The 24,510-nt window shown below is 47.8% G+C and overlaps 1 protein-coding gene across 5 annotated transcripts, besides 7 other annotated features; it reads left to right on the plus strand.

Annotated features, from left to right (window-relative positions):
* Positions 1,525–2,488: an enhancer, noted in NCBI's record as "H3K4me1 hESC enhancer chr19:35927445-35928408 (GRCh37/hg19 assembly coordinates)". NCBI's record gives its function as "activates a minimal SCP1, AML or CMV promoter by ChIP-STARR-seq in naive H9 embryonic stem cells {active_cell/tissue: H9 hESC(naive)}" and the evidence as "EXISTENCE:reporter gene assay evidence [ECO:0000049][PMID:30033119]".
* Positions 1,609–1,903: a silencer, noted in NCBI's record as "tiled region #12887; K562 Repressive DNase matched - State 8:EnhW". NCBI's record gives its function as "represses a minimal TATA promoter and a strong SV40 promoter by Sharpr-MPRA in K562 cells {active_cell/tissue: K562}" and the evidence as "EXISTENCE:reporter gene assay evidence [ECO:0000049][PMID:27701403]".
* Positions 2,489–3,450: an enhancer, noted in NCBI's record as "H3K4me1 hESC enhancer chr19:35928409-35929370 (GRCh37/hg19 assembly coordinates)". NCBI's record gives its function as "activates a minimal SCP1, AML or CMV promoter by ChIP-STARR-seq in naive H9 embryonic stem cells {active_cell/tissue: H9 hESC(naive)}" and the evidence as "EXISTENCE:reporter gene assay evidence [ECO:0000049][PMID:30033119]".
* Positions 7,264–7,473: an enhancer, noted in NCBI's record as "active region_14478". NCBI's record gives its function as "activates an Ori minimal core promoter by ATAC-STARR-seq in GM12878 lymphoblastoid cells {active_cell/tissue: GM12878}" and the evidence as "EXISTENCE:reporter gene assay evidence [ECO:0000049][PMID:35858748]".
* Positions 11,196–11,275: an enhancer, noted in NCBI's record as "active region_14479". NCBI's record gives its function as "activates an Ori minimal core promoter by ATAC-STARR-seq in GM12878 lymphoblastoid cells {active_cell/tissue: GM12878}" and the evidence as "EXISTENCE:reporter gene assay evidence [ECO:0000049][PMID:35858748]".
* FFAR2 (free fatty acid receptor 2) lies at positions 13,239–16,749 on the plus strand. Of its 5 annotated transcripts, NM_005306.3 has the most exons (3): positions 13,239–13,361; positions 13,805–13,927; positions 14,696–16,749. In NM_005306.3, the coding sequence occupies exon 3, from the start codon at positions 14,697–14,699 to the stop codon at positions 15,687–15,689; it is 993 nt and encodes a 330-aa protein (NP_005297.1). In that variant the 5' UTR covers positions 13,239–13,361; positions 13,805–13,927; position 14,696; the 3' UTR covers positions 15,690–16,749. The 5 variants fall into 5 exon arrangements, with proteins under 5 accessions (NP_005297.1, NP_001357016.1, XP_047294655.1 ...); NM_001370087.1 differs by lacking the exon at positions 13,805–13,927; XM_047438699.1 differs by lacking the exons at positions 13,239–13,361; positions 13,805–13,927 and adding an exon at positions 14,024–14,182.
* Positions 22,137–22,266: an enhancer, noted in NCBI's record as "active region_14480". NCBI's record gives its function as "activates an Ori minimal core promoter by ATAC-STARR-seq in GM12878 lymphoblastoid cells {active_cell/tissue: GM12878}" and the evidence as "EXISTENCE:reporter gene assay evidence [ECO:0000049][PMID:35858748]".
* Positions 23,818–23,997: a silencer, noted in NCBI's record as "silent region_10526". NCBI's record gives its function as "represses an Ori minimal core promoter by ATAC-STARR-seq in GM12878 lymphoblastoid cells {active_cell/tissue: GM12878}" and the evidence as "EXISTENCE:reporter gene assay evidence [ECO:0000049][PMID:35858748]".

A 24,510-nucleotide genomic window follows, 5' to 3' on the forward strand; every position in this document is an offset into this window, starting at 1 on the left:
CTGGGAGTGCTCATATGAGCACTCACTCTACAGAGACCCTGTCTCACAAAAATAAATAAATAAATAAATAAATAAAATAAATAGATAAAAAAAAGAGGTAGAAGCTGGAAAAGTGGTTATCTTAGGAGTGGAAGGTTTGCTGACTGAGAGGGAATAAAAGGGCCTCTAGGGTGCTGAAAATGGCCTGCATCTCAACCTGGGTGGTCATACACAAATGTACAGATATGTTAACATGCATCCAGCTGTATCCCTAAGTTGAGCTCACCTTTTTGTATGTATGTTACCTGTTAATAACACAATTGATAAAAGCCCCCTCTAAAATCCCACATCTTCCTATGGCTACCATAGATATTTTAGGCTTATAATTGGTTTTGCTCCCCATATTTGCTATTCAAGATCTGTATAATTTTGGAACTCTCCCCTTTTTCCTTGCCAACAGGGTCCCAATTTTGTTAGGTTCGGGAAGTGCCCAATTAATACTCATTTGCCCAAACTCTCTTGCGGCTAGGAATTGCCATGAGATACAATGTCAGCCAGTTGGAAATAAGTACACATCTGCTGGGTAGGGCTTCCAGAAAAGCTATCATTTTCCTTTTTCCTTCTTTAGAGACAAGGTCTCGCTGTGTGGCCCAGGCTGGAGTACAGTGGTGCCATCACAGCTCACTGCAGCCTCCCATTCCCAGGCTCAAGCGATCCTCCCACCTCAGCCTCCCAAGTAGCTGGAACTATAAGAGTGCACCACCACACCCAACTAGATTTTTTTTTTATTTTTTGTAGAGATAGGGGGTCTCACTCTGTTGCCCAGGCAGGTCTCGAACCCTTGGCCTCAAGCGATCCTCTTGCCTCGGCCTCTCAAAGTGCTGGAATTACAGGCGTGAGCCACTGCATCTAGAAAAGTTGTCATTTTCCTGCTTGAAAAAGGGATAGATCCATCTCTCATACGTCTTTTGCTCTCTGTCCTCCCTGCCCCCTGTTTTTCTGCTCAGAATGTAGATGCTTCTTAGGACCATGAAGCGAAAGCCAAGATCTGGGGATAGTGAAACAGATAGCCAGAGGACCCCAGGCTGTGGATGGATGAGTGATCCTGAGCAGCAGCCGTGGACATGGGTTCCCTAATTCCTTCATGTCCCATGAGAAAAATAAACCTCTATGTGTTTAAGTCTCTGTTATTTGGGCATATTTGACAGTCCTCAAATGAGATATAAGGGTTTTATCTTCATAAATGGCAAAGACTTCTAGAGACAGAAGGGAAGGCTTCTGGGTGCTAATTCACTGTGGCTTCATATCATCAAGTAGCAAGGGCTCAAGGAAAAAAAAAAGTGGGGGAAGGAATCCCCAAGACATTCCCAAAATTAAGACTACATTCTCCCCTCCCACCTTCTCCTGAGAGCAGTCTTCCCTGCTTCCTATGGAATCTGAATTCTTCTGGCATTGGAAAAGGCTCAGGGAAGATGGCTCAACGTGAAGAGGATCTCAGTTCACGTAAACTTTACCAAGAGCGGGTCTTAGAGTGTTATGTCCACTGCATCACTGTTTCTCAATCTATTTTTAACCACTTCCCACTTCTGATAAACAGAAACTTTACTTTCTGGTTTGCATTAAGAAAACCAGGGCTTTTCTCTCTCTCTTGGAAAATTTCCAAGCATTTTGAAACGTGCTGCCAACTCCCCGGGTGTGACACCCGGGAGTTTCTGATATCCTCCCTGCACTTCCTGAAAATCTGCCGTCTAATTTAAGTTTCCTAAGATTCTGCAAAGCAGACAGAAACCCTGGTGACTCCAGCGATACCACAACTCTTAGGGGAAGATGAGTCATGTATGTGGCAGAAGCAGGTAATGGAGGAAAACAGAGACAAGGTTGGGCTGGGGAAAGGAACACAGAGCAACTAGTTTTGCCCCCCATCTGGTGTGTCTTTTGCAGGATCAGCCAGCACCTGACTGCAAGTTTCCGCCTCCAGACACTCTGCTGCCTCTCCTCCCTGGCTCAGGGTCAGCACTGAAAATCAGCCCAAGGAAACGACCAGCTGCCTTCTGGCCCTTATCAAGGGTGGTGTGAACCCGCGCTAGCTACCCAGGGGTCTGGCCCGGAAGCGGCAGGGGGAGGGCTTTTTAGTCCTGTGTCTAGTCCAGTGGTCACCTCTGCACGGACAGCAGATGGAGAAGGGGGCTCGGGGAAGGAGGAAAAGGTCAGGCAACCTCTCCAGGATTCCTGGAATAAACATTCCTCCTCCCAAGCTCTTCATTCTGTTTCACAATCAAATCCAGAGTCTTATAAGCATTCATGGAAACCATGAAAGCAAACAACTTGGTAAACGGTAGACAGAAACAGTAAATAGAATCTTCCCTCTACTTCCTGTGTATCCAGAATGTTTAGAGACAGGGAGTGGGGACTGACGACAGATTGCAGCATCTGGGATCTGGGGCTATGGCAGGAACGAGGACATGTGGAAGGCTGGGAGTTGCCTGGGTCTTGGGAGTCTGGGGTTGAAGGTTACTCCTTCATGGTTTCAGGGAAAGAGTGAAGACCACTGGCAAGAAGCCTGGTAACCACACAGACACACCCTGCAGGAAGCAGTTGACACCATCTCACACCCTGACCTGTCCCCCATGTCCTCCTCTGTGGGATGCACAGGACTTCCAGGGGCCACCAAAGAAGTTGGGTCTAACCGGGGCCCTCACAGTACAGTGGCGAGTGTAGTGCGGTGGTAAAGACCATGGACTCCAGCCGGGCGCGGGGGCTCACGCCTGTAATCCCCACACTCTGGAAGGCCAAGGTGTGCAGATCGCTTGAGTCCAAAAGTTCAAGACCAGCCTGGGCACATGGTGAAACCCCGTCTCTACAAAAAATACAAGCATTAGCCGGGCATGGTGGCGCACTGTAATCTTGTAATCCCAGCTACTCGGGAGGCTGAAGTGGGAGGATTTCTGAAGTCGCAGGTTTCAGTGAGCCAAGATAGTGCCACTGTACTCCAGCCTGGGTGACAGAGTGAGACCCTGTCTAAAAAAAAAAAAAAAAAATTAGCCAGGCATGCTGGCGTGCACCTGTAATTCCAGCTACTCCAGAGGCTGAGGCAGGAGAATCACTTGAGCGTGGGAGGCAGAGATTTCAGTAAGCCATGATTGTGCCCCTGCACTCCAGCCTGGGCAACAGAGCGAGACCCTGTCTAAAAAAATAAAAAATAAAAAAAGCCCATGGACTTTTTAGTTCAGAGTTCAGTTCCTCCGTCCACCAGATGCATGACTCCAGGCAAATCACTTCTTTCTCTACATACTTCAGCTTCCTCGTCCGTTAAAGGGGATGAGTGTGTAACTTCCTAGGATGTTTTAAGATTTACATGAGTTCATCTTTGCAAAGCTTTTTGCATGGCACTTGATACACAGTGTCATACAATACAATAAATGTTGGCTGCCATGTCTGCTATGTCCTCTGTCTGTTGTAATGAATTGCCAAAAACTTGGTGGCTTAACATAACAGAAATTTATTCTCTCACAGTACTGAAGACTAGAAGTCCAAAACCAGTGTCACGGGGCTGAAATCAAGGTGCAGGGTCTCCTAATTTTCCCTCCTTTTTCCTCTGTCCTGACCAAGAAACAGAGTGCCTTGACCAACCTGCGACCCAGCCAGCTGCGTGTTTTCTCTGCAGACTTGAACCCAAGCCAGGGCTTGAACATTCCCAGGCACTGATAAAGGTGTTTAGACACTGAAAGAAACCAGCCCTGGCCCTGGGCCAAATTCCTTAAACCCTCATGCAAACCCCTCCCTTGCCCCCTCCCTTTTCTCTCATTGTTCGTCTTGAGGATGCTGCAGCCCACTCTGCAAATTCCCCTCCGAAATGCTTTGCACTAATCACCCTGGCATTTGGTGCTTCTTGCTTTGGGAACCCATCTGGCCCCCTCTTGGGATGGTTTGGGGAACTCCTCGACAGAAACTCCCTTGCCACAGCTTTTCGGGGTGACTCCAGCCAGATCCGGCTGGGATGGAACACAGGTGTTCAGCAGGATTCCATTTCTCCGGAGGCTCTTGAGAAAATCCATTCTTTGCCTCTTCCAGCTTCTGGTGGGCGCTAGCTTGCAGCTACATCACTCCGGTCCTCCAGGATCACAGCATCTTCTCCCCTTCTGTCTGATTTCTCCCTCTACCTCTTTCTTTTTGTGATTACATTTAGGACCATCTCAGATAGTCCAAGATTATCTCCCCATCTAAAGATTCTTTTTTTTTTTTTGAGACGGAGTCTCACTCTGTTGCCAGGCTAGAGTGCAGTGGCACGATCTCTGCTCACTGCAGCCTCCACTTCCCGTATTCAAGTGATTCTCCTGCCTCAGCCTCTGGAGTAGCTGGGATTACAGGATTACAGATGCACACCACCATGCCTGGCTAAGTTTTTGGATTTTTAATAGAGATGAGACGGGGTTTTGCCATATTGGCCAGGCTGGTCTCGAACTCCTGGCCTCAAGTGATCTGCCTGCCTCGGCCTCCCAAAGTGCTGGGAACACAGGTGTGAGCCAATGCGCCCAGTTCTGCCTCCTCCTTTTTGTGATTATGTTTAGGGCCATCTCAGATAGTCCAAGATGACCTCCCCATCTCAAGCTTCTTAATCCCAATGCAAAGTCCCTTTTGGCCGTGGTTCCAGGGATTAGGATATGGGTCTCTTTTGGGGGGACCATCATTTGGCCACCACAGCTGGTGTGATTGGCCAGGAGTGAAGTCTAATAAACAGGACTCAGGTGGACGGAGAGTGGAGGAAGGAGAGGTCTCTGCAGAGAGAGGTTGGGGTATGGCTACCGGCAGTGGGTGGGAACAACCACAGAGGCCCACCACCAAGGCCACAGAGACAGAGTCTGCAGAGTTCTCCCAAGAAGCTAGCCTTGAGACGCTCCTTTTAATTTTCTTCTTCAGCAATGTACCAGCCCGGGGATGGGTTCTGCAGGGACTGTGGAAGTGAAGGACCCCACGACTGGAGTGACAGGGGAGGCTGCATAATAGACAACTAAAAGAGAAGATGCACGGAGGGGGGTGGGCATAAACTGTTACCTTCACAGTGGGTGAGCTCCTCTGGTGAGGCCTCTGCAGGGCTCAAAAAAGGTGATACGCAAATGAACTCAGGGGAACTGCACTGGCACAGGGGCCATTACGTCTCAAAGTCCATCAGCACGTGCTGGTCTAGATTCTCCTTCCCTCTTCATCCCTAGGAGAGTTCCATTTCTCTCTGGCATCCTGTACTTCCTTATTAATTGTCATTTATTTAAAATTGCACACTGGGTGCAATGGCCCACACCTGTAATCCCAGCACTTAGGGAGGCCAAAGCAGGAGAATCGCTTGAGGCCAGGTGTTTGAGACCAGCCTGAGAAACACAGCAAGACCCTGTCTCTACAAAAAATAGCAAATTAGCCAAGTGTGGTGGCCAAGCCCGTAGTCTCAGCTACTTGGGAGGCCGAGGTGGGAGGACCGCTGGAGCCCAGGAGGTCGAGGCTGGAGTGAGCTATGATCACACCACTGCACTCCAGCCTGAAGTGACAGAGCGAGACCCCCACCTCTAAAAATAATAATAATCAGCCCAGACGTGGTGGTTCACACCTGTAATCCCAGCACTTTGGGAAGCCAAGGTGAGAGTATGGCTTGAGGCCAGGAGTTTGAGACCAGCCTGGGCAACATAACAAGACCCCATCTCTACCAAAAATAAAAATAATAAAAACATTTAGAAATAATAATAATAAAACAAAGTTACATATCTCAAATCCTAAGTGATCCTCTCTGCCCCGGGTGCACATTCTCCCTTATCCATGCCATCCTCAATCCCCTCAACCCCTGGCGACTGCAACACCCTCCTAGCGGATCCCTCTGCTTCCAGTTCTGTCCTTCTAGGGAGCATTCTTCACACAGTAGCAGGCTTGATCTTCTAGAATCATATATCACATCACATCATTCCCCTCTTATGGCCCTAAGTGACTTCCCACTGCTCAAAAATGGAGTCTTAAGGCCGGGTGCAGTGGCTCACACCTGTAATCCCAGCATTTGGGAGGCTGGCAATTGTTTCATTCATTCATTCATTTAACAAATATATATCCACCCCCCAGGATGTGCCAGGATCTGTGCCAAGCATTAGAAATATCATGGTTGAAAAATACAGATGGGTCCAGGCGCAGAGGCTGACGCCTGTAATCCCAGCATTTTGGGAGGCCGAGGCAGGCGGTTCACCTGAGGTCAGGAGTTCAAGACCAGCCTGGCCAACATGGTGAAACCCCGTCTCTACTAAAAATACAAAAATTAGCAGGGCATGGTGACAGACACCTGTAATCCCAGCTACTCAAGAGGCTGAGACGGGAAAATCAATTAAACCCAGGAGGCAGAGGTTGCAATGAGCCAAGATCACGCCACTATGCTCCAGCCTGGATGACAGAGCAAGACTCCGTCTCAAAAAAAAAAAAAAAGGTATATAGCCTGGATCATCAGTGCTGACCATGAGGAAAAAGGTCCTGTGGCTTTTGCTGCAAGTCCCTTAAACCACAAGACAGCTCTCAAGTGATTACACGTCCAGGATGTCTTAACAGGTCCCAGAAAAAGATAAATGAGGCATCTGAGGACAAGCGTCCTCTGAGTTTTTGAAATGGACTTATCTCCATTCTGAAGTCACTCTCATCCATCTATCCTCCACTGTCATCCAGGAAATAGTTACTAAGGGCCTAACATGTTCCAGGCTGCACGCCAGGTCCTGAGGATGCAATGGTGAGCAAAGCAGCTGTGTTCCCTGCTTTGTGGACAGTCTCATAAGGGGAGGTAGACTTCACATCCATCTTAATGCAAATCCTCATGCTAATGAACACATTATAATAAATTGAGACGTGGGACATAGGAAGGAATAGTAAAAGATGCTATGAGAGCAACCAACAATGAGAAAATAAACTCTAAAAAAATTAAATTTACAGCTGCCTCCAAAATATTTAGAATCATGCAAAACCTCTATGCTGACAACTAGAAAGCATTGCTGAGAGGAATTAAAGACCTAAATAAATGGAGAGAGATGTCCAGTGTCAATGATCCCAAATTGATCTATGGATTCAGTGTGAGCCCATTCAAAATTCCAGCAGGCTTTTCTGTAGAAATTGATTTTAATATTTATATGAACATGCAAATGACCCAGAATAGCCACAGCAAATTTAGAAAAGAAGAAGGAAGTTGGAGGACTTACTCTATTTCAAGACTTATTATGAAACCACAGTAATCAAGACTGTGTGCAGGCCGGGCACAGTGGTTCGTGCCTGTAATCCCAGCACTTCGGGAGGCCGGGGCACGTGGATCACTTGAGGTCAGGAGTTGAAGACTTGCCTGGCCAACATGGCGAAACCCTGTCTCTAATACAAATACAAAAATTAGCCGGGGGTGGTGGCAAGCATCTGTAATCCCAGCTACTCAGGAGGCTGAGACAGAAGAATTGCTGGAACCCAGGAGGAGGAGGGTTCAGTGAGCTGAGATCACGCCACAACACTGTAGCCTGGGAGACAGAGCAAGACTCCATCTAAAAATAAAAATTTTAAAAAATAATAAAAATAAATAAATTTTAAAAATACCGTGTGCAAATGATGAAAGGCAAGACACAGAGTCTCTCAGAAGAATAGAGCGTCCAGAAATAGTACCACACACACATACAACCAATGGGTTTTTAGTACAGGTGCCGCGGCAATTCAACAGGGAAAGGAAAATCTGGAATAATTGGATAAGGAGGTAAAAGCTTCTTAGGACATAAAAGCACAAACCATAGAAGAAAAACCAGATAAATTAGACCTTGTCAAAATGTAACACTTTTTTGCTTTTCAAGAGACAATTAAGAAAATGAAGACCAGGCACAGTGGCTCATGCCTGTAATCCCAGCACTTTGGGAGGCCGAGGTGGGCAGACTGCTTGAGCTCAGGAGGTCGATGCCAGCTTGGACAAAATGGCAAAACCTCATCAGTACAAAAAATAGAAAAATTAGTCAGGCATGGTGGCAGGTGCCTGCAGTCCCAGCTACTTGGAGGGCTGAGGCGGAAAGGTCACCTGAGCCTGGGAGGTCAAGGCTGCAATGAGCTGTGATGGAGCCACTGCACTCCAGCCTGGGCAACAAAGTGAAACTCTGTCTCAAAAAAAAAAAAAATTAAAAGAAGAGAAAAGTCACAGAATGGCAGAAAATATTGGTAATATATACATCTGACAAATGACTAGTACCAAGAATATAATAAAGAACTCTCAGAACTCAACTATATGAAAATAATCCAATTTTTCTTTTTTTTTTTTTTTTTTTTGAGACAGAGTTTCACTCTGTTGCCCAGGCTGGAGTGCAGTAGTATGATCTTGGCTCACTGCAACCTCTGCCTCCTGGGTTCAAGCGATCCTCCTGCCTCAGCCTCCCTAGTAGCTGGGATTACAGGCGCCCGCCACCACGCCCAGCTAAATTTTGTATTTTTAGTAGAGATGAGGTTTCACTATGTTGGCCAGGCTGGTCTGAAACTCCTGACCTCAAGCAATCCACCCACTTCAGCCTCCAAAAATGCTAGGATTACAGGTGTGAGCCACCATGCCCAGCCTAAAATTTTTTAAATGAGCAAAATATTTAAACAGACATTCCACGAAAGAAGATATACAAATGGCTCATAAGTACTTGAAAAAATGCTTAACACCAATAATCATCAAGAAAGTATAAATTAAGACCACAACAAAGGCCGGGTACGGTGGTCCACGCCTGTAATCCCAGCACTTTGGGCAGCTGAGGCGGGCAGATCACCTGAGGTCAGGAGTTCAAGACCAGTCTGGCCAACATGGCAAAACCCCATCTGTATTAAAAATACAAAAATTAGCCAGGTGTGGTGGCACGTGCCTGTAATCCCAGCTACTCAGGGGGCTGAGGCACGAGAATGGCTTGAACCCAGGAGGTGAAGTTTGCAGTGAGTGGAGATGGCGCCACTGCACTCCAGCCTGGGCGACAGATCGAGACTCTGTCTCACACACACACACAAAAATACCATGGCATACTTATTAGAATGCCCACAATTAAAAACTAACAATTGTCAAGTGTTGGTGAGGATGTGGAGCAACTGAAATGCTCGTAGGCTGCTGGTGGGAATGCAACATGGCACAGCTACTTTGGAAAACTGGTAGTTTCTTAAAAAGTTAATAAAACGTTTTACCATACCACCTGGCCAATACACTGCCAGGTATTTGCCCAACAGCACTGAAAACATTTCCACACAAGAATGTTCTTAACAGCTGTATTCATACTAGACAAAAACTTTTTAAAAAAAACCCAAACCAACCAAATATCCATCAACAGATGAATGGATAAATAAAATAGGAAATATCCTTAAAACAGAATACTATTCAGCAATAGAAAAGATGCTTAACCTGTAAGAGGGGAATCGAAATCTAGGAGGTCAGGGCCTTTTTTTTTTTTTTTTTTTTTTTTGAGACAGAGTCTTGCTCTGTCGCCCAGGCTGGAATGCAGTGGCGCAATCTTGGCTCACTGCAACCTCCGCCTCCTGGGTTCAAGTGATTCTCCTGCTTCAGCCTCCTGACTAGCTGGGATTACAGGCGTGCGCCACTATCCCGGCTAATTTTTGTATATTTAGTAGAGACGGGATTTCGCCATGTTGGCCAGGCTGGTCTCGAACTCCTTACCTCAGGTAATCCACCTGCCTCGGCCTCCCAAAGTGCTGGGATTACAGGTGTGAACCACTGTGCCCAGCCAGACAGGGATTTCTTAAGGAAGTAAATGGTTATCTGAAAGAAAGCTACAAATTAACTGTGAAAGTTGGAATGGGTAACAAGAAATAAAGACATACCAGGCAGGGGCTGGTTCAAGCTCCCCATGGCAGATGGAAAACATGACACATTCACAGAAGTGGAAAATGGCCCTGCCCAGACAGCAAAGAGAGAGAAGAGTGATGTGAGTGGAAGCTGGCAAGGGCCATGCTAGGCAGGCCTTTTTAAGGATGTTGATATTTCTCCTAAAAGCAGTGAGAAGTCTCTGAAAGGACAAGAAGGTCGTATAATTGGATTGACATTTTTAAAATGATTCCACTAATACAGTATGGAGAACTGACTGCCAGGGAAGCAGATGGATGAGAGGAAGTGAGTCAGGGCCCTGCTGAAATCCTGGTAGGGATGATGGCACTGAGATGGGATGATGGAGATGGAGACGGATGGATGGATTCATATTTGGAATCCATAAGTATTTGGGGAGTACATCAGACTGCATTCTAGGGATAAGGAAGAAGATAATATTGAGATTCACTTTAAGACTGACTCTAGTCAGGCTCAGTGGCTCACGCCTATAATCCCAGCACTTTGGGAGGCCAAGGCGGGCGAATCACTTGAGGTCAGGAGTTCGAGACCAGCCTGACCAACATGGTGAAACCCCGTTTCTACTAAAAATACAAAAATTAGCCGAGTGTGGTGGCACATGCCTGTAATCCCAGCTACTCGGGAGGCTGAGGCATGAGAATTGCTTGAATCTGGGAGGCAGAGGTGGCAGTGAGCCGAGACTATGTGCCACTGCACTCCAGCCTGGGCGACAGAGTGAGATTCAGTCTCGAAATTAAAAAGAAAAAAAAAAAAGACTGACTCTAAGATAATGGTGCAGGAGATGTGATGGGAAGAGATCTTACGCCCCAAGACAGGGAAGGGTGGAAGAAGGAAGATCTGAGGCCAGGTCTGGACACATTTGATTTGGTTGATTTGGGACACCTGTGAGACACCCAATGGCAGTGTCAACTAGGCAGTTGAGCGTGTACATGTGAAGCTCACAGAAACCTAGGGTGAAGATTCAAACCAGGGGTGTCATGAAGGTGGTAACTGGAACTACGGAAACAGTTGCAGTCGACTAGAAGGAGAGCACAGGCGAGAACAGGAAAGAACCTGGAGCCAAGCTTGAAGGAAGTCACCATTTCGGGGATGAGTAGGGGAATGGTGAGCTAGCAAAGGGGTACGAGAAGTGACCAAAGGAAAGAGAGGGAAGCTAGCAGCGTAACGTATCAGAATTTGTGAAAAGAGGATGTTTCCAGAAGGGCGTGGAAATTGTGTTGAATGCTAATAAAATAAGAAAAGCGTAAGTCCACTGAATTTAGGAACATGGAGGTCACTGCTAACATCGGGAAGAGAAAATCCCATGGAAAATAGGCACAGAACCCAGATTAGGGTGGACTGAGGGGCGAGTGAGAATTAAGAATGTGGAAGTGATTACACAGAACTTTAGATAAGGGTCCAACTTCCTGTGATGACAGGCTGCATTATAAAGACGATGAGAGAAAACTGAACTTGGAAGGAACTGTGAAGGATATTGCTCTTGTGAAAGTTTACCCCCTTGAACTCGGTCTGAGAGGTTGGGTTTCCTTTTCCTGTGACGTAGGTGGACATCATGAACTGTGAGACTGAAAGCCTCCTTGGTGATGCTCCCTTCATAACTGCGGTGAACATTCATAACTGCTGTGAACCCAGAGAGGGGGTTTCGTTGGGGCGTCTTCCACAGGGGGACTCACGACAGTGACGGCGAAAGGCAGGAGGTGGGGGGAGAAGAACGTGCAGAGACAGAGAGGCAGTCCCACTCCTCAACACTTGTTTTCCAATGAGTTTCCTGGATTCTGCAATTAAATCCAGATCCTCGTGCATGTTTATAGGAAATCATAAAAGCGAAATGACACAAATAAATTTGGTGGCAACAAGAGAGAATGGTCTCTTTCTTAGTTCTCCTGTTGATCTGAGAAGCGACGTGTGCTGGGGGAAGGAAATAAAGAACTAGAACGCCTTCAGAGGAGAGTAGAGTGGACGAGAAAGAAAAGCTAAATATCAAAATGTCTAGACCCTGGGGTTACAGACCACAAAAAGAATAAATGACTGACTGACTGAATGACTGAATGAATGGCAAACAATAGGAAGTAGGTATGTCCTAGGGAAAGAATGGGGATTCTGTGAGCAGGAATCAGGCCACAGATGGCAGAACAGAGACTTCTTTCTGAGACTTCCTCCCTAGTTCAAGAGGAAAACACGTTCCAACGATCCTTGCTGCATTAGGTGTGTATTTCAAAGGGACCTTCAGGAGCTCCTAACCTGGGGCTACCAAGGTCAGAGAGGGGGAAACAGTGAGACTTTATCAGGGAAAGGAATGGAGCCTGAGTGCCACTCCCTGACGAAAAGCCACATGGGCACGTGAACTCGGGCCTCCTGAATTCCTGACACTTTCCCAAGAGGGACAGCACATCCATGCCCTGAGCCTCTGGAGGCTGCACCAAGTGGCTCACTCTCTGTGAAGCTGCGTTACAGGCTTGAGACGAGGCAGCACTTACGGGCATCTGCTAAGTGCTTTATATACACAACCTCACTGAATCCTCGCAGAAGTCCTAGGATGTCAGAATTCGCATGCTCACTTGACTACAGCAAACTAGACTTCAGAAAACGGATCTGCCCCCAAGGTTGTAATGAAGGGACCTGGATTTGAGCCCATATCTGCATGACTATAACTCCCACACCATTTCCATCACAACAAGATGCAGGCCAGGACCAGCCTGTTTCAGCTGAGACGGGCAAAAGAAATGTGTTGGGGGCAGAGGGCAGGAGACCATAGAGAAAGTAAAAAAATTGAAGAAGAAAAGGAAGGAGTGCCGGGTGCAGTGGCTCACGCCTGTAATCGCAGCACTTTGGGAGGCCAAGGCAGGCGGATCACTTGAGGTCAGGAGTGCAAGACCAGCCAACATGGTGAAACCCTGTCTCTACTAAAAATACAGAAATTAGCTGGGCGTGGTGGCAGGTGCCTGTCATCCCAGGGAGGCTGACGCAGGAGAATCGCTTGGACTCGGGAGGCAGAGGTTGCAGTGAGCTGAGATGGCGCCACTGCACTCCAGCCTAGACAACAGAGCAAGATTCAGCCTCGAAAAAAAAAACCAAAAAAAAAGAGGAAAAATAAAAAGGAAGGAGGAAAGCTCATTTCTGAGAATGAGCAGAATGACAGAAGAAACTGCCTAAGAAAGAGAAAAGAAAATAATCTGACTTGGGAAGTAAAAAAAGAAAAATGCCTGGGAATTTTTTTTTTAAATCAGGAATTAAGGACAGAAAAATCTGAATTTGGAAGTCAAGAGTGAGGATTCTCTAGGGAGAGAATAAAGATGCTGGGCCTTTCCTTTGGGTTTGAGAGGAAATAGTGCTTAAAGACTGACCTTCCTTTCTCTGGTCACGTGGCTGGTGCTAGTATAAATGCTTACTACCAGCCAGGTTCCTCACCATTTTTTCCTGCATGGCATGGACAGAAGCAGGGGCTAAAGCTCTGTTCCTCTCTCCTGGAAGCTTGCAGACCTCCCTTCAGAACCAATCCCAAGAAGCCACCTATCCGGAACAACACAAGGCAAGGCAGCTAGTGTAGTGCTTGTGCTCTGGGAAGAGAGGCCAGGATCAGGTTTGAGGGGAAGGTTCTGGGAGACTGGAGGAAGGATGTCAGAACCAAATGGAAGACTCATACCCAGAGACAGGAGCTAGTGTGAGGAGCAAGGAAACAGCCAGGAAATCAAGGCTGGAGAGTGGACAGAGGGACAGGACCTGGGTTGGGGCCAGCAAGGGTGACACCCCAAGTGGAAACTGAGTTACCCCGTGAAGAAGACGAGTTCTATTTATGGTCAGAATGCCACGCTCAAGGGCCAGTGAAGGCCTGTGGGCTTTTCTGAATATTTCTCTAAGGTCTTCTAGGGACAAGCCTTCCTCCTAAGGCTAGTGCTGGTTCATCCTTCTTCCCCTCCACCCTCCTCTAAGCCTCCCAGCTTCCCCTTTTCTTTTCTTTTTTTTTTTTTTTAGACGGAGTTTTTGCTCTTACCGCCCAGGGTGGAGTGCAATGGCGCAATCTTGACTCACTGCAACCTCTGCTTCCCGGTTCAAGCGATTCTCCTGCCTCAGCCTACCAAGTAGCTGGGATTACAGGTGCCCGCCATATCACCCGGCTAATTTTTTTTTTTTTTAGTGGAGATGGGGTTTCACCACGTTGGCCAGGCTTGTTTCGAACTCCTGACTTCAGGTGATCTGCCCGCCTCGGCCTCCCAAAGTGCTGGGATTACAGAAGTGAGCCACTGCGCCCAGCCCCAGCTTCCCCTTTTCTAGAGAGTCCCAGAGTTTGGTGTTGGACAGGAGAGGACAAGGTGGGGGAGAATCTGTGCTCTGCAAAACAGACGAACGGAAGTAGGAAGCTGGGCTGGTGGCTGGGCACTTGGGTCCTTTGGAGAGCTGGCACTGGGTATCCGCGCCTGGGGCGCCACAGCCTCTTTATACTGATAAGCATCTTACAGCTCTCTCCCGGCACTGATGCCTTTCTCTCCTGCAGGTCTCTGTCTGAGAAAGGGACTTGAGTAAAGTTAGAAACTGGCAACAGTAACTTCCTGTATCTGTGAGGACAGGAGGAGAAAGGCTAGGGAAACTGGAGGGGGAATTCCCTTGGGAAGCCACGAGTTGGTCTCCTCCAGAGACACATGATGGCAAACATAATCACTACTGCTTAATATCCCGCCCCAGGCAAAGTCAATAATTGCTCTGGGTAGTTCGAGCAGGTGGTGTGAGCAAGCCGTGGTGGCATCAGAAAGCACAGTCCTGGGAAGGGGACGGTGCCGGGGAGGATGTCCGCATCCTGAAGGAGAGCTGGCTGCGCGGGCTGTGAGTGAGACCTCCCTGACCCCGCCCTTTTTTGTTCCCCTCCAGGATGCTGCCGGACTGGAAGAGCTCCTTGATCCTCATGGCTTACATCATCATCTTCCTCACTGGCCTCCCTGCCAACCTCCTGGCCCTGCGGGCCTTTGTGGGGCGGATCCGCCAGCCCCAGCCTGCACCTGTGCACATCCTCCTGCTGAGCCTGACGCTGGCCGACCTCCTCCTGCTGCTGCTGCTGCCCTTCAAGATCATCGAGGCTGCGTCGAACTTCCGCTGGTACCTGCCCAAGGTCGTCTGCGCCCTCACGAGTTTTGGCTTCTACAGCAGCATCTACTGCAGCACGTGGCTCCTGGCGGGCATCAGCATCGAGCGCTACCTGGGAGTGGCTTTCCCCGTGCAGTACAAGCTCTCCCGCCGGCCTCTGTATGGAGTGATTGCAGCTCTGGTGGCCTGGGTTATGTCCTTTGGTCACTGCACCATCGTGATCATCGTTCAATACTTGAACACGACTGAGCAGGTCAGAAGTGGCAATGAAATTACCTGCTACGAGAACTTCACCGATAACCAGTTGGACGTGGTGCTGCCCGTGCGGCTGGAGCTGTGCCTGGTGCTCTTCTTCATCCCCATGGCAGTCACCATCTTCTGCTACTGGCGTTTTGTGTGGATCATGCTCTCCCAGCCCCTTGTGGGGGCCCAGAGGCGGCGCCGAGCCGTGGGGCTGGCTGTGGTGACGCTGCTCAATTTCCTGGTGTGCTTCGGACCTTACAACGTGTCCCACCTGGTGGGGTATCACCAGAGAAAAAGCCCCTGGTGGCGGTCAATAGCCGTGGTGTTCAGTTCACTCAACGCCAGTCTGGACCCCCTGCTCTTCTATTTCTCTTCTTCAGTGGTGCGCAGGGCATTTGGGAGAGGGCTGCAGGTGCTGCGGAATCAGGGCTCCTCCCTGTTGGGACGCAGAGGCAAAGACACAGCAGAGGGGACAAATGAGGACAGGGGTGTGGGTCAAGGAGAAGGGATGCCAAGTTCGGACTTCACTACAGAGTAGCAGTTTCCCTGGACCTTCAGAGGTCGCCTGGGTTACACAGGAGCTGGGAAGCCTGGGAGAGGCGGAGCAGGAAGGCTCCCATCCAGATTCAGAAATCCTTAGACCCAGCCCAGGACTGCGACTTTGAAAAAAATGCCTTTCACCAGCTTGGTATCCCTTCCTGACTGAATTGTCCTACTCAAAGGAGCATAAGTCAGAGATGCACGAAGAAGTAGTTAGGTATAGAAGCACCTGCCGGGTGTGGTGGCTCATGCCTATAATCCCAGAACTTTGGGAGGCTGAGGCAGGTGGATCACTTGAGGTCGGGAGATTGAGAACATCCTGGTCAACATGGGAAAACCCCGTCTCTACTAAAAATACAAAAAAATTAGCTGGGCATGGTGGCACATGCCTATAATCCCAGCTACTCTGGAGGCTGAGGCAGGAGAATCCTTGAACCCGGGAGTTGGAGGTTGCAGTGAGCTGAGATCACGCCACTGCACTCCAGCCTAGCGACAGAGCAAGACTCCATTTAAAAAAAAAAAAAAAAAAAAAAAGAAGCACCTTCAGGCTGGAGAAGCAGCGTAGCTAACACAAGTCCAGTCCTTGTGATGTGGCTGGTAGTTGGGGATGGCCAGGCTGAAGCAGAGAGTCCTAGAGAAATCTCGATACAAGCTTCAAAGCAACACCTAGACACTGCTCTAGCGGTTGATCCTGGAGATAAACCAACAAGAGAGAGATGGAAGAGAAATACTAAATGAGGTCAAAGAAGACTCAGAAAGGTTCTGAGCCTGGAGATGAGCAGGGAGGCCTCAGGGCTTAGACCTTTAATGATAGGGGTTTCCCTGCATTGGTTTGACCTGTTGCCTTTTTGATGTGCTCTGTTTGTTTTCATGTGTTGTCTTGTCTCCCCTGCTAAACTGGGAGCTGCCAGGGGTCTGGGTCTTATCTCCTTCCTCCATGGTACCCCACACAGGCCAGGATGTGGTTTGGTACCCAGCAATCAGAGATTGGCACTCCCTCATACAGGGGAAAGCAACCTGGTCTAGCAAATTGAAAATAAAGATGATAAAACTCTGAAGTGAATGTCCACAATTTTTGTAACACTGCTGCAAGCACAGGGAGGGCAAAAATAGGAGAGAGAACCAGATTCAGCAGCAAAGGGGAAAAGTGATGCATCTGAAACCACAGAAACATCTTAAGATAAAGAGGTGGTGTGGGCAAAGGAAGTGAGAGCACTGACGGAATCGTCTTTCGAGGGATGAATAGAGAGTCCGGACTTAGAAAGGATGCAGGGTGATTCCGATTCACAGTCATCTGTCTGCCACAGGGCCTTAAAACATGTCACCCTCCTGCTCAGAAACCTGCAGAGCTTTCCTATCATCAAAATGTTTCCTTGGCCAGTTGCAGGGGCTCATGACTGTAATCCCAGCACTTTGGGAGGCTGAGGTGGGAGGATCACTTGAGCCCAGGAGTTGGAGACCCACCTGGGCAACACAGTGAGACCCTGTCTCTCAATTTTAAAAATTTAATTTAAAAAGATGCGTCCGGCTGGGCACAGTGGCTCATGCCTGTAATCCCAGCAGTTTGGGAGGCCAAGGCGGGAGGATCGCCTGAGGTCAGAAGTTCTAGACCAGCCTGGCTAACATGGTAAAACCCCATCTCTACTAAAAAGACAAAAAAAATTAGCCGGGCATGGTGGTGCGTGCCTGTAATCCCAGCTACTGAGGAGGCTGAGGCAGGAGAATCACTTGAACCTGGGAGGCAGAGGTTGCAGTGAGCCGAGATTGCGCCACTGCACTCCAGCCTGGGCAACAGAGCGAGACTCTGTCTCCAAAAAAAAAAAAAAAAGTGCTTCCCCCAAGGAACTCATATTGTACCATTCTTTTCCTTGCTTTGTCCTCTCTCTCCCCTTCCAGTTCTACCTGCCTAGCTCATTTTTCCACAATAAGGACTCCTAGACCATTCTCTCTAGTTAAATGACCTCCAGCCCCTAACCTAGTAGTTTGCAACCCAGGCTGTACATCAGAATTACATGTGGAGGTGTGAAAATAATACAGAGAGCCACCTCCAACCTACTGACAGAATCTCTGCAGGTGGGGCCCCAGCAAGAGAGCTTTTCAAAAAAGCACCCCAGGTGGCCAGCTGGGGTCGCGAATCGCTGTCTTATCTCAGAAGCCAAATCTGTCCAAGAACTTGTTCTTCAAAAACCTTGCCTGCTTATTCATCCCCCCTCACCTCAATCCCACATTCTTCTACCTGTTTTTTTGTTGGTTTGTTTGTTTTTAGAGTTGGGGTCTCACTCTGTTGCCCAAGCTGGAGTGCAGTGGCACAATCATGGCTCACTGCAACCTCGAACTCCTGGGCTCAAGTCACCCTCCCGCCTCAGCCTCCCAAGTAGATGGGACTACAGGTGTACACCACCACACTCAGCTAATTATTTTATTTTATTTTGTGTAGAGATGGGGTGTTGCCCAGACTGGTCTTGAACTCCTGGCCTCAAGTGATTCTCCTGCCTTGGCCTCCCAAAGTGTTGGGATTACAGATGTGAGCCACCACACCTGGCCCTCCCCCATCTTCTGGTGCTTGCCTCTTCTTCACTTACAAAAATCCACTCAATATTCACTTTCTCCAGAAAACCTTTCCTTATTAGTCCCACTGAACTGAAAGCTCATTTTCTATTTTCCTCCTTCAAAAGAAGACTGGACAGGTGCCATAAGAACCCTGAATTCAGTGTCCATTCCACTTACTAAATGGATGGCCTGAAGCAAGCCACCTCCTCCAGCCTCTATTTCTAAATCATAGTGATTAGGATACTACATACCTCCCAAGATTATTCTGTGGATTAAAATAAGACTCTATGAATAAAATTGCTGAGAAATCATAGAATATTAAGTAGTTCTAAGATATAAATCCATGTACACAGATGTACCCTCACTTATTAGAAATATAATAAGTAAACATTAAAAATAGTGGAAATAATGCTGGGCATGGTGGCTCATGCCTGTAATCCCAGCACTTTGGGAGGCCGAGATGGGCAGATCACTTGAGATCAGGAGTTCAAGATCAGCCTAGCCAACATGGTGAAATCCCATCTCTACTAAAAATACAAAAAATTAGCCAGGCACGGTGGCAGGCACCTGTAATCCCAGCTACTCGGGAGGCTGAGGCATGGGAATCGCTTGAACCTGGAAGGCAGAGGTTGCAGTGAGCTGAGAACGTGCCACTGCACTCCAGCCTAGGCAACAGAGAGAGAATGTCTCAAAAAAAAAAAAAAATAGAAATAACATAGTAGGTAGTCAACTACGGATAGCATGGCAGTAATATGTTTTAAAAAATCTGGGATTCTCAGCTGACTGTACATGCACTATGAGTCTGTGATGTATTACAGCTGCCACAAAAGCTAATTTGATTGGATTACATGAAAAGAAATCATGTTGGCCAGGCACAGTGGTTCACGCCTGTAATCCCAGCACTTTGGGAGGCGAAGATGGGCAGGTCATGAGGTCAGGAGTTCGAGACCAGCCTGGCCAGCACGGTGAAACCCCATCTCTACTAAAAATACAAAAAATTAGCTGGGCATGGTGGCGTATGCCTGTAATCCCAGCTGTTTGGGAGGCTGAGGCAGGAGAATTGCTTGAACCCGGGAGGCGGAGGTTGCAGTGAGCCGAGATCACGCCATTGCACTCCAGCCTGGGCGACAAGAGCAAAACTCTGTCTCAAAAATAAAAAGAAAAGAAATAATGTCTAGACAAGTTGATGATACTGAGGCAGAGCAGGTGTGCTAAGTGGGGCTTGGCCCATGAGGGTTCTTGGTTTTGCCCAGGAAAGAATTCAAGGGCTAGCCGGTGGTGAAAGAAAACAGCTTTGTTGAAGCAGCCCTGTTACAGCTCCAGCCCTGTTGCAGCTCCGTGACTGCTCCTGCAGAGCAGGGCTACCCCACAGGCAGAGAGTAGCAGCTCAGGGCAGTTTTGCAGTCATATTTTTGCCTACTTTTAATTGCACACAAATTAAGGGGCAGTTAACACAGAAATTTCTAAGGAAAGGGTAGTAACTTTTGGGTTGTCAGGTCATTGCCATGGAAAGGGGTGGTAATGCCCAGGTGTTGCCATGGCCACAGTAAACATGGCACTCTGGCGGGCATGCTTTATGAAAAGCTGCTTCACCCTTTCCTTGTTTTAGCTAGTCCTCAATTTGGTCCAATGTCCAAACACCACCCCTGGGGTCAAGTCCCTCCTCCTACCTCCATAACCCCCATTCCACTTAGGTCTAATCAGCAGCAGGTTCAGAACTGAGCAACACATTCTCTTGTATTTTTTTTTTTTTTTTTTTTGAGATGGAGTTTCACTCTGTCACCCAGGCTGGAGTGCAGTCGCACAATCTCAGCTCACTGCAACCTCCACTTCCCAGGTTCAAGCAATTCTCCTGCCTCAGCCTCCCGAGTAGCTGGGATTACAGGTGCATGCCACCACGCCTGGCTAATTTTTGTATTTTTAGTAGAGACGGGGTTTCGCTATGTTGTCCAGGCTGGTCTTGAACTCCTGACTTCAAGTGATCCACCCGCCTCGGCCTCCTAAAGTGCTGGGATTACAGGCGTGAGTCACTACATCCAGCCTGAGCAACACATTTCTAAGAAGGACATTAACTCAGCCGGGCGCAGTGGCTCACGCCTGTAATCCCAGCACTTTGGGAGGCTGAGGCAGGTGGACCACCTGAGGTCAGGAGTTCGAGATCAGCCTGCCCAACATGGTGAAACCCCGTCTCTACTAAAAATACAAAAAATTAGCCGGGCGTGGTGGCAGGCGCCTGTAATCCCAGCTACTCGGGAGGCTGAGGCAGGAGAATTGCTTGAACCCGGGAGGCGGAGGTTGCAGTGAGCCGAGATCGTGCCACTGCACTCCAGCCTGGGCGGCAACAAGAGCAAAACTCTGTTTCAAAAAAAAAAAAAAGGACACTAGCTCAATGAATCAAGCCCAGAAAAATTAACCAAAATGTTTTGGAGATTTAAGACTGTATAACAATAGTAATAGCCGTAATAATAGAGCAAATTAAATACCAGGCACTGTGCCAAGAAGGGGCCTGAGAGGGTTAAGGTCACTTTTCAAGGCCAATAGGTGGCAGGGAGTTTGAATCCAGGTCTTTCTGAGCCTAAAGTGCATGCTGTTTTCACTGACACATGAGAAGGAAGTAAGAGAACACTGGCTGGGACAAGATAAGATCTTTTTTTTTTTTTTTTTTTGAGGCAGAGTCTCGCTCTGTTGCCCAGGCTGGAGTACAGTGGTGCAATCTTGGCTCACTGCAACCTCCACTTCCCAGGTTCAAGCAATTCTCATGCCTCAGCCTCCTGAGTAGCTGGGATTACAGGCGTCCACCACCATCCCTGGCTAGAAGATACACTCTATGAGCCACACAGGACAGAACAAAGACCACAGGTGGAAGAGGCACAGAGATACCTTTCAAATAGTTATGGCCATTTCAATGGAACTGACTATCTCAGCAAAGAAGTCACTCCCCAATTTCCAGGAATATTCAAGAAGGTAGCAAACATCTATCCTAGGACACTGAGGAAACTCACACAAATGAGGGCTGAACCAGTTTAATGACCACTTCCAACTCTACGATTCCCAGGTTCTTTTTTCTTTTCCTTTTTTTTTTTTTTTTTTTTTTGAGATGGAGTCTTGCTCTATCACTCAGGCTGGAGTGCAATGGCGGGAGTGCAATGGCACGATCTCGGCTCACTGCAACCTCTACCTCCGAGGTTCAAGCGATTCTCCTGCCTCGGCCTCCTGAGCAGCTGGGACTACAGGTGTGCACCACCAAGCCCAGCTAATTTTTATATTTTCAGTAGAGATGTGGCTCATGCCTGTAATCCCAGCACTTTGGGAGGCCGAGGTGGGCAGATTGTCTGAGGTCAGGAGTTTGAGACAAGCCTGGCCAACATGGTGATTCTCAGGTTCTTTAGGGGCACGACTTCTCTTACTAACCAGGAAAGTACAAAATGAAGTCATTTTGCTGGGCACGGTGGCTCACACCTGTAATCCCAGCACTTTGGGAGTCCAAGGCAGGCAGATCATAAGGTCAGGAGTTCGAGACCAGCCTGACCAACACAGTGAAACCCCATCTCTACTAAAAATACAAAAATTAGCCAGTTGTGGTGGCACGCGCCTGTAATCCCAGCTACTCGGGAGGCTGAGGCAGGAGAATCGCTTGAACCCGGGAGTCGGAGGTTGCAGTGAGCCGAGATTGCACCACTGCACTCCAGCCTGAGTGACAGAGCGAGACTCCGTATAAAAAAAAAAAAGAGTCATTTTGTTGTCATGGGGTTATAAGAAGATCGATCACTGGACCTGGTCTAAGACTTTCAAAGTGAAGCTGTAGCTGCTCACTTACAAGCATTTGACCTTCATCAAGTTACCTGACATAGCAGCCCATTTCTTCACTGGGAAATCAGTCGATCACCTGTTCAACAAATATGTATTCATTACCAACTCCAGGCCAGATACTTTTCTAGGGTCTAGGGATACAGAGCGTACAAAAGACAAGTATCTTCCCTGTTGGGACTTCCATTCTGGTAGGGGAACATAGTTTAAAAACAGGTAAACAAATAGATGAGCAAGGTGATTTCAGAGTGTGGCAAATGGAAAGTAGTTACAAAGGAACTGAAACAAGGTCATGGGAGAAACTATAAGGGGAGGTTGAGGAGGTTTAGAAGATCATTCTACTCTCTTGCTTCAAACCTTCACCTGGCTTCCAGAAGCTCTTAGAAGCTCATTCAAACTCCTTTTAGTGACCTAAAATACTTTGCACGGTCGGTCTTTTCAGGCAGCTGCTAGCCCGATGAAAACCCTGCGTGTTTGCATAGAAGTCTATGGTTTCTTAACTCTCATGCACATGGTCTCCTTGATCCTAACAAACATTCCCCTTCAGGTCCCTTCAGGTAGGCACAGCTGCCAGAATGATATTCTTAAAATGGAAATCAGATCATTCCAATATCTTGCTTCAAATCCTCGAATGACTTCTAGAGGCTCTTAGAATACAAATTCCTTTCTGTGACCTGGAAGCCCCTGCTCAGCTCCTCAACCTCATCTTCTTTCACTCTGTCCCCATTGATAGTATTCCAGCCCAGAGGTTCTCAATATGTGGCCTCTGAGCCAGCAGCTGCTGCATCACCTGGGAACAAGCCACTTGACACATCGGCCTGTTTCTTCATTTGGAAGTTGAATCTCCTAAGTTAGTGATGTTCAGCTGAGCCCTGAACAATGAAAGGGAGTTGACATACAAAGGCCCGCAGGAACATTCTGGAAACAGAAATTGCTGATGCAAAGGCTCTGAGGAGAGAGAAAACCTTAGCATCTCTCAAGGCCAGAGAGAAGGCCAGTGAAGGGCTCAAACAGGGGTTTTAAATGTAAGCAAATATTGGAACTACCTGAAGCGTTTGCTGAACCATAGATGACTGTCCTCACTTCCCCAGGACTTCAGAATCAGTAGGGATATTGGTCAGGGTTCTCCAGAAAACAGAACCGAGAGGACAGACAGATTACATAGACAGATAAGTAGATAGGTAGACAGATAATAGATTAGAGAGATAGAGAAAGAGAGAGAGAGACAGAGACAGAGAGATAAAGATACACAGGTAGGTAGTAGGTAGACAGATAATAGATTAGATAGATAGATAGATAGACAGATAGAGATAGATAGATATACACAGGTAGCTAGTAGGTAGACAGATAATAGATTAGATAGATAGATATGCACAGGTAGGTAGTAGGTAGACAGATAACAGAGTAGATAGATGATAGATAGACAGATAGATAGATGATAGATAGATAGATAGATATACACAGGTAGGTAGTAGGTAGACAGATAATAGATTAGATAGATAGATAGATAGATAGATAGATAGATAGATAGATAGATAGATGATAGATAGATGGGGGAAGGGTAGGAAGCCCTGATCTATTGCATTTGCAAATTTCTGTGGCACATACACTCCCACCAGGAATCATTGCTACCAATATGAAGATCTTGAACATGGGTTTGGCAAGAGATGCTAATAATGGGCTCTTATTATAATGTAATGAGCTCAGACATATCCCTGCATGCAACTCACAGTACATCTGCTCAAATGGCAGCCAGATCACATCTTCCTTGAGAAAACTTTCTCTTTCCCCACCAACGCTTCATGCAAGCCTCTTGCACAGTGCTTCCTATACAGTAAACACTAGTTAAATGTGGCTGGCTGGGCCTGCTCCAAAGCATCCGGGTGGCTGTATGATTGCACAGCTCCTCTGAACCCCCTGCCCCAAAGCAGGATGACAGATGGGTAAACAGAAATATTAGTGCCTGGTTAATGAATAACACAGACGGCAGCCTAGTGCCGCTACCAGGAAACAGGGGTGGAGGGATCTGACCTGGCCCAACCTGGGGGCCTGAGCAGCACGAAAAGGGAACCTGGCATTATTTCACTTCCCCTTTCTGGAAAAGATGCTCCTGGGCCCCTTCCTCAGAACTTCTCATCAGTCCGCACAACCAGAGCTCAGGTGCAGTGTGGCTTGGTGATGAATACTATGGTTGGAAAAGGAGGGATGGGGGCAGTGGGCATGGAGAGGGTCTGGAGGAAACACACAGCCATGATTCCAGCCTCACTCCCTTAAACGTCCTGCCTCTCAGCGCGGGGTCTGTGCTAGTTCTTCTTTTCGCCTTGCCCTGCCTCCTGTGGATAAGTGCTTTTGCCCCACTTTTTTTTTTCCTTTTCATTATTTATCTCTAATCACAGGAAATGAGGACATTTCTCATCTACAAATTGCACATCCCATCAGGAAATTGGGCCAAAGATCTCTAA

Source organism: Homo sapiens, chromosome 19 (genome assembly GCF_000001405.40).
Source record: "Homo sapiens chromosome 19, GRCh38.p14 Primary Assembly".
In the NCBI taxonomy this organism is placed as follows: domain Eukaryota; kingdom Metazoa; phylum Chordata; class Mammalia; order Primates; family Hominidae; genus Homo; species Homo sapiens.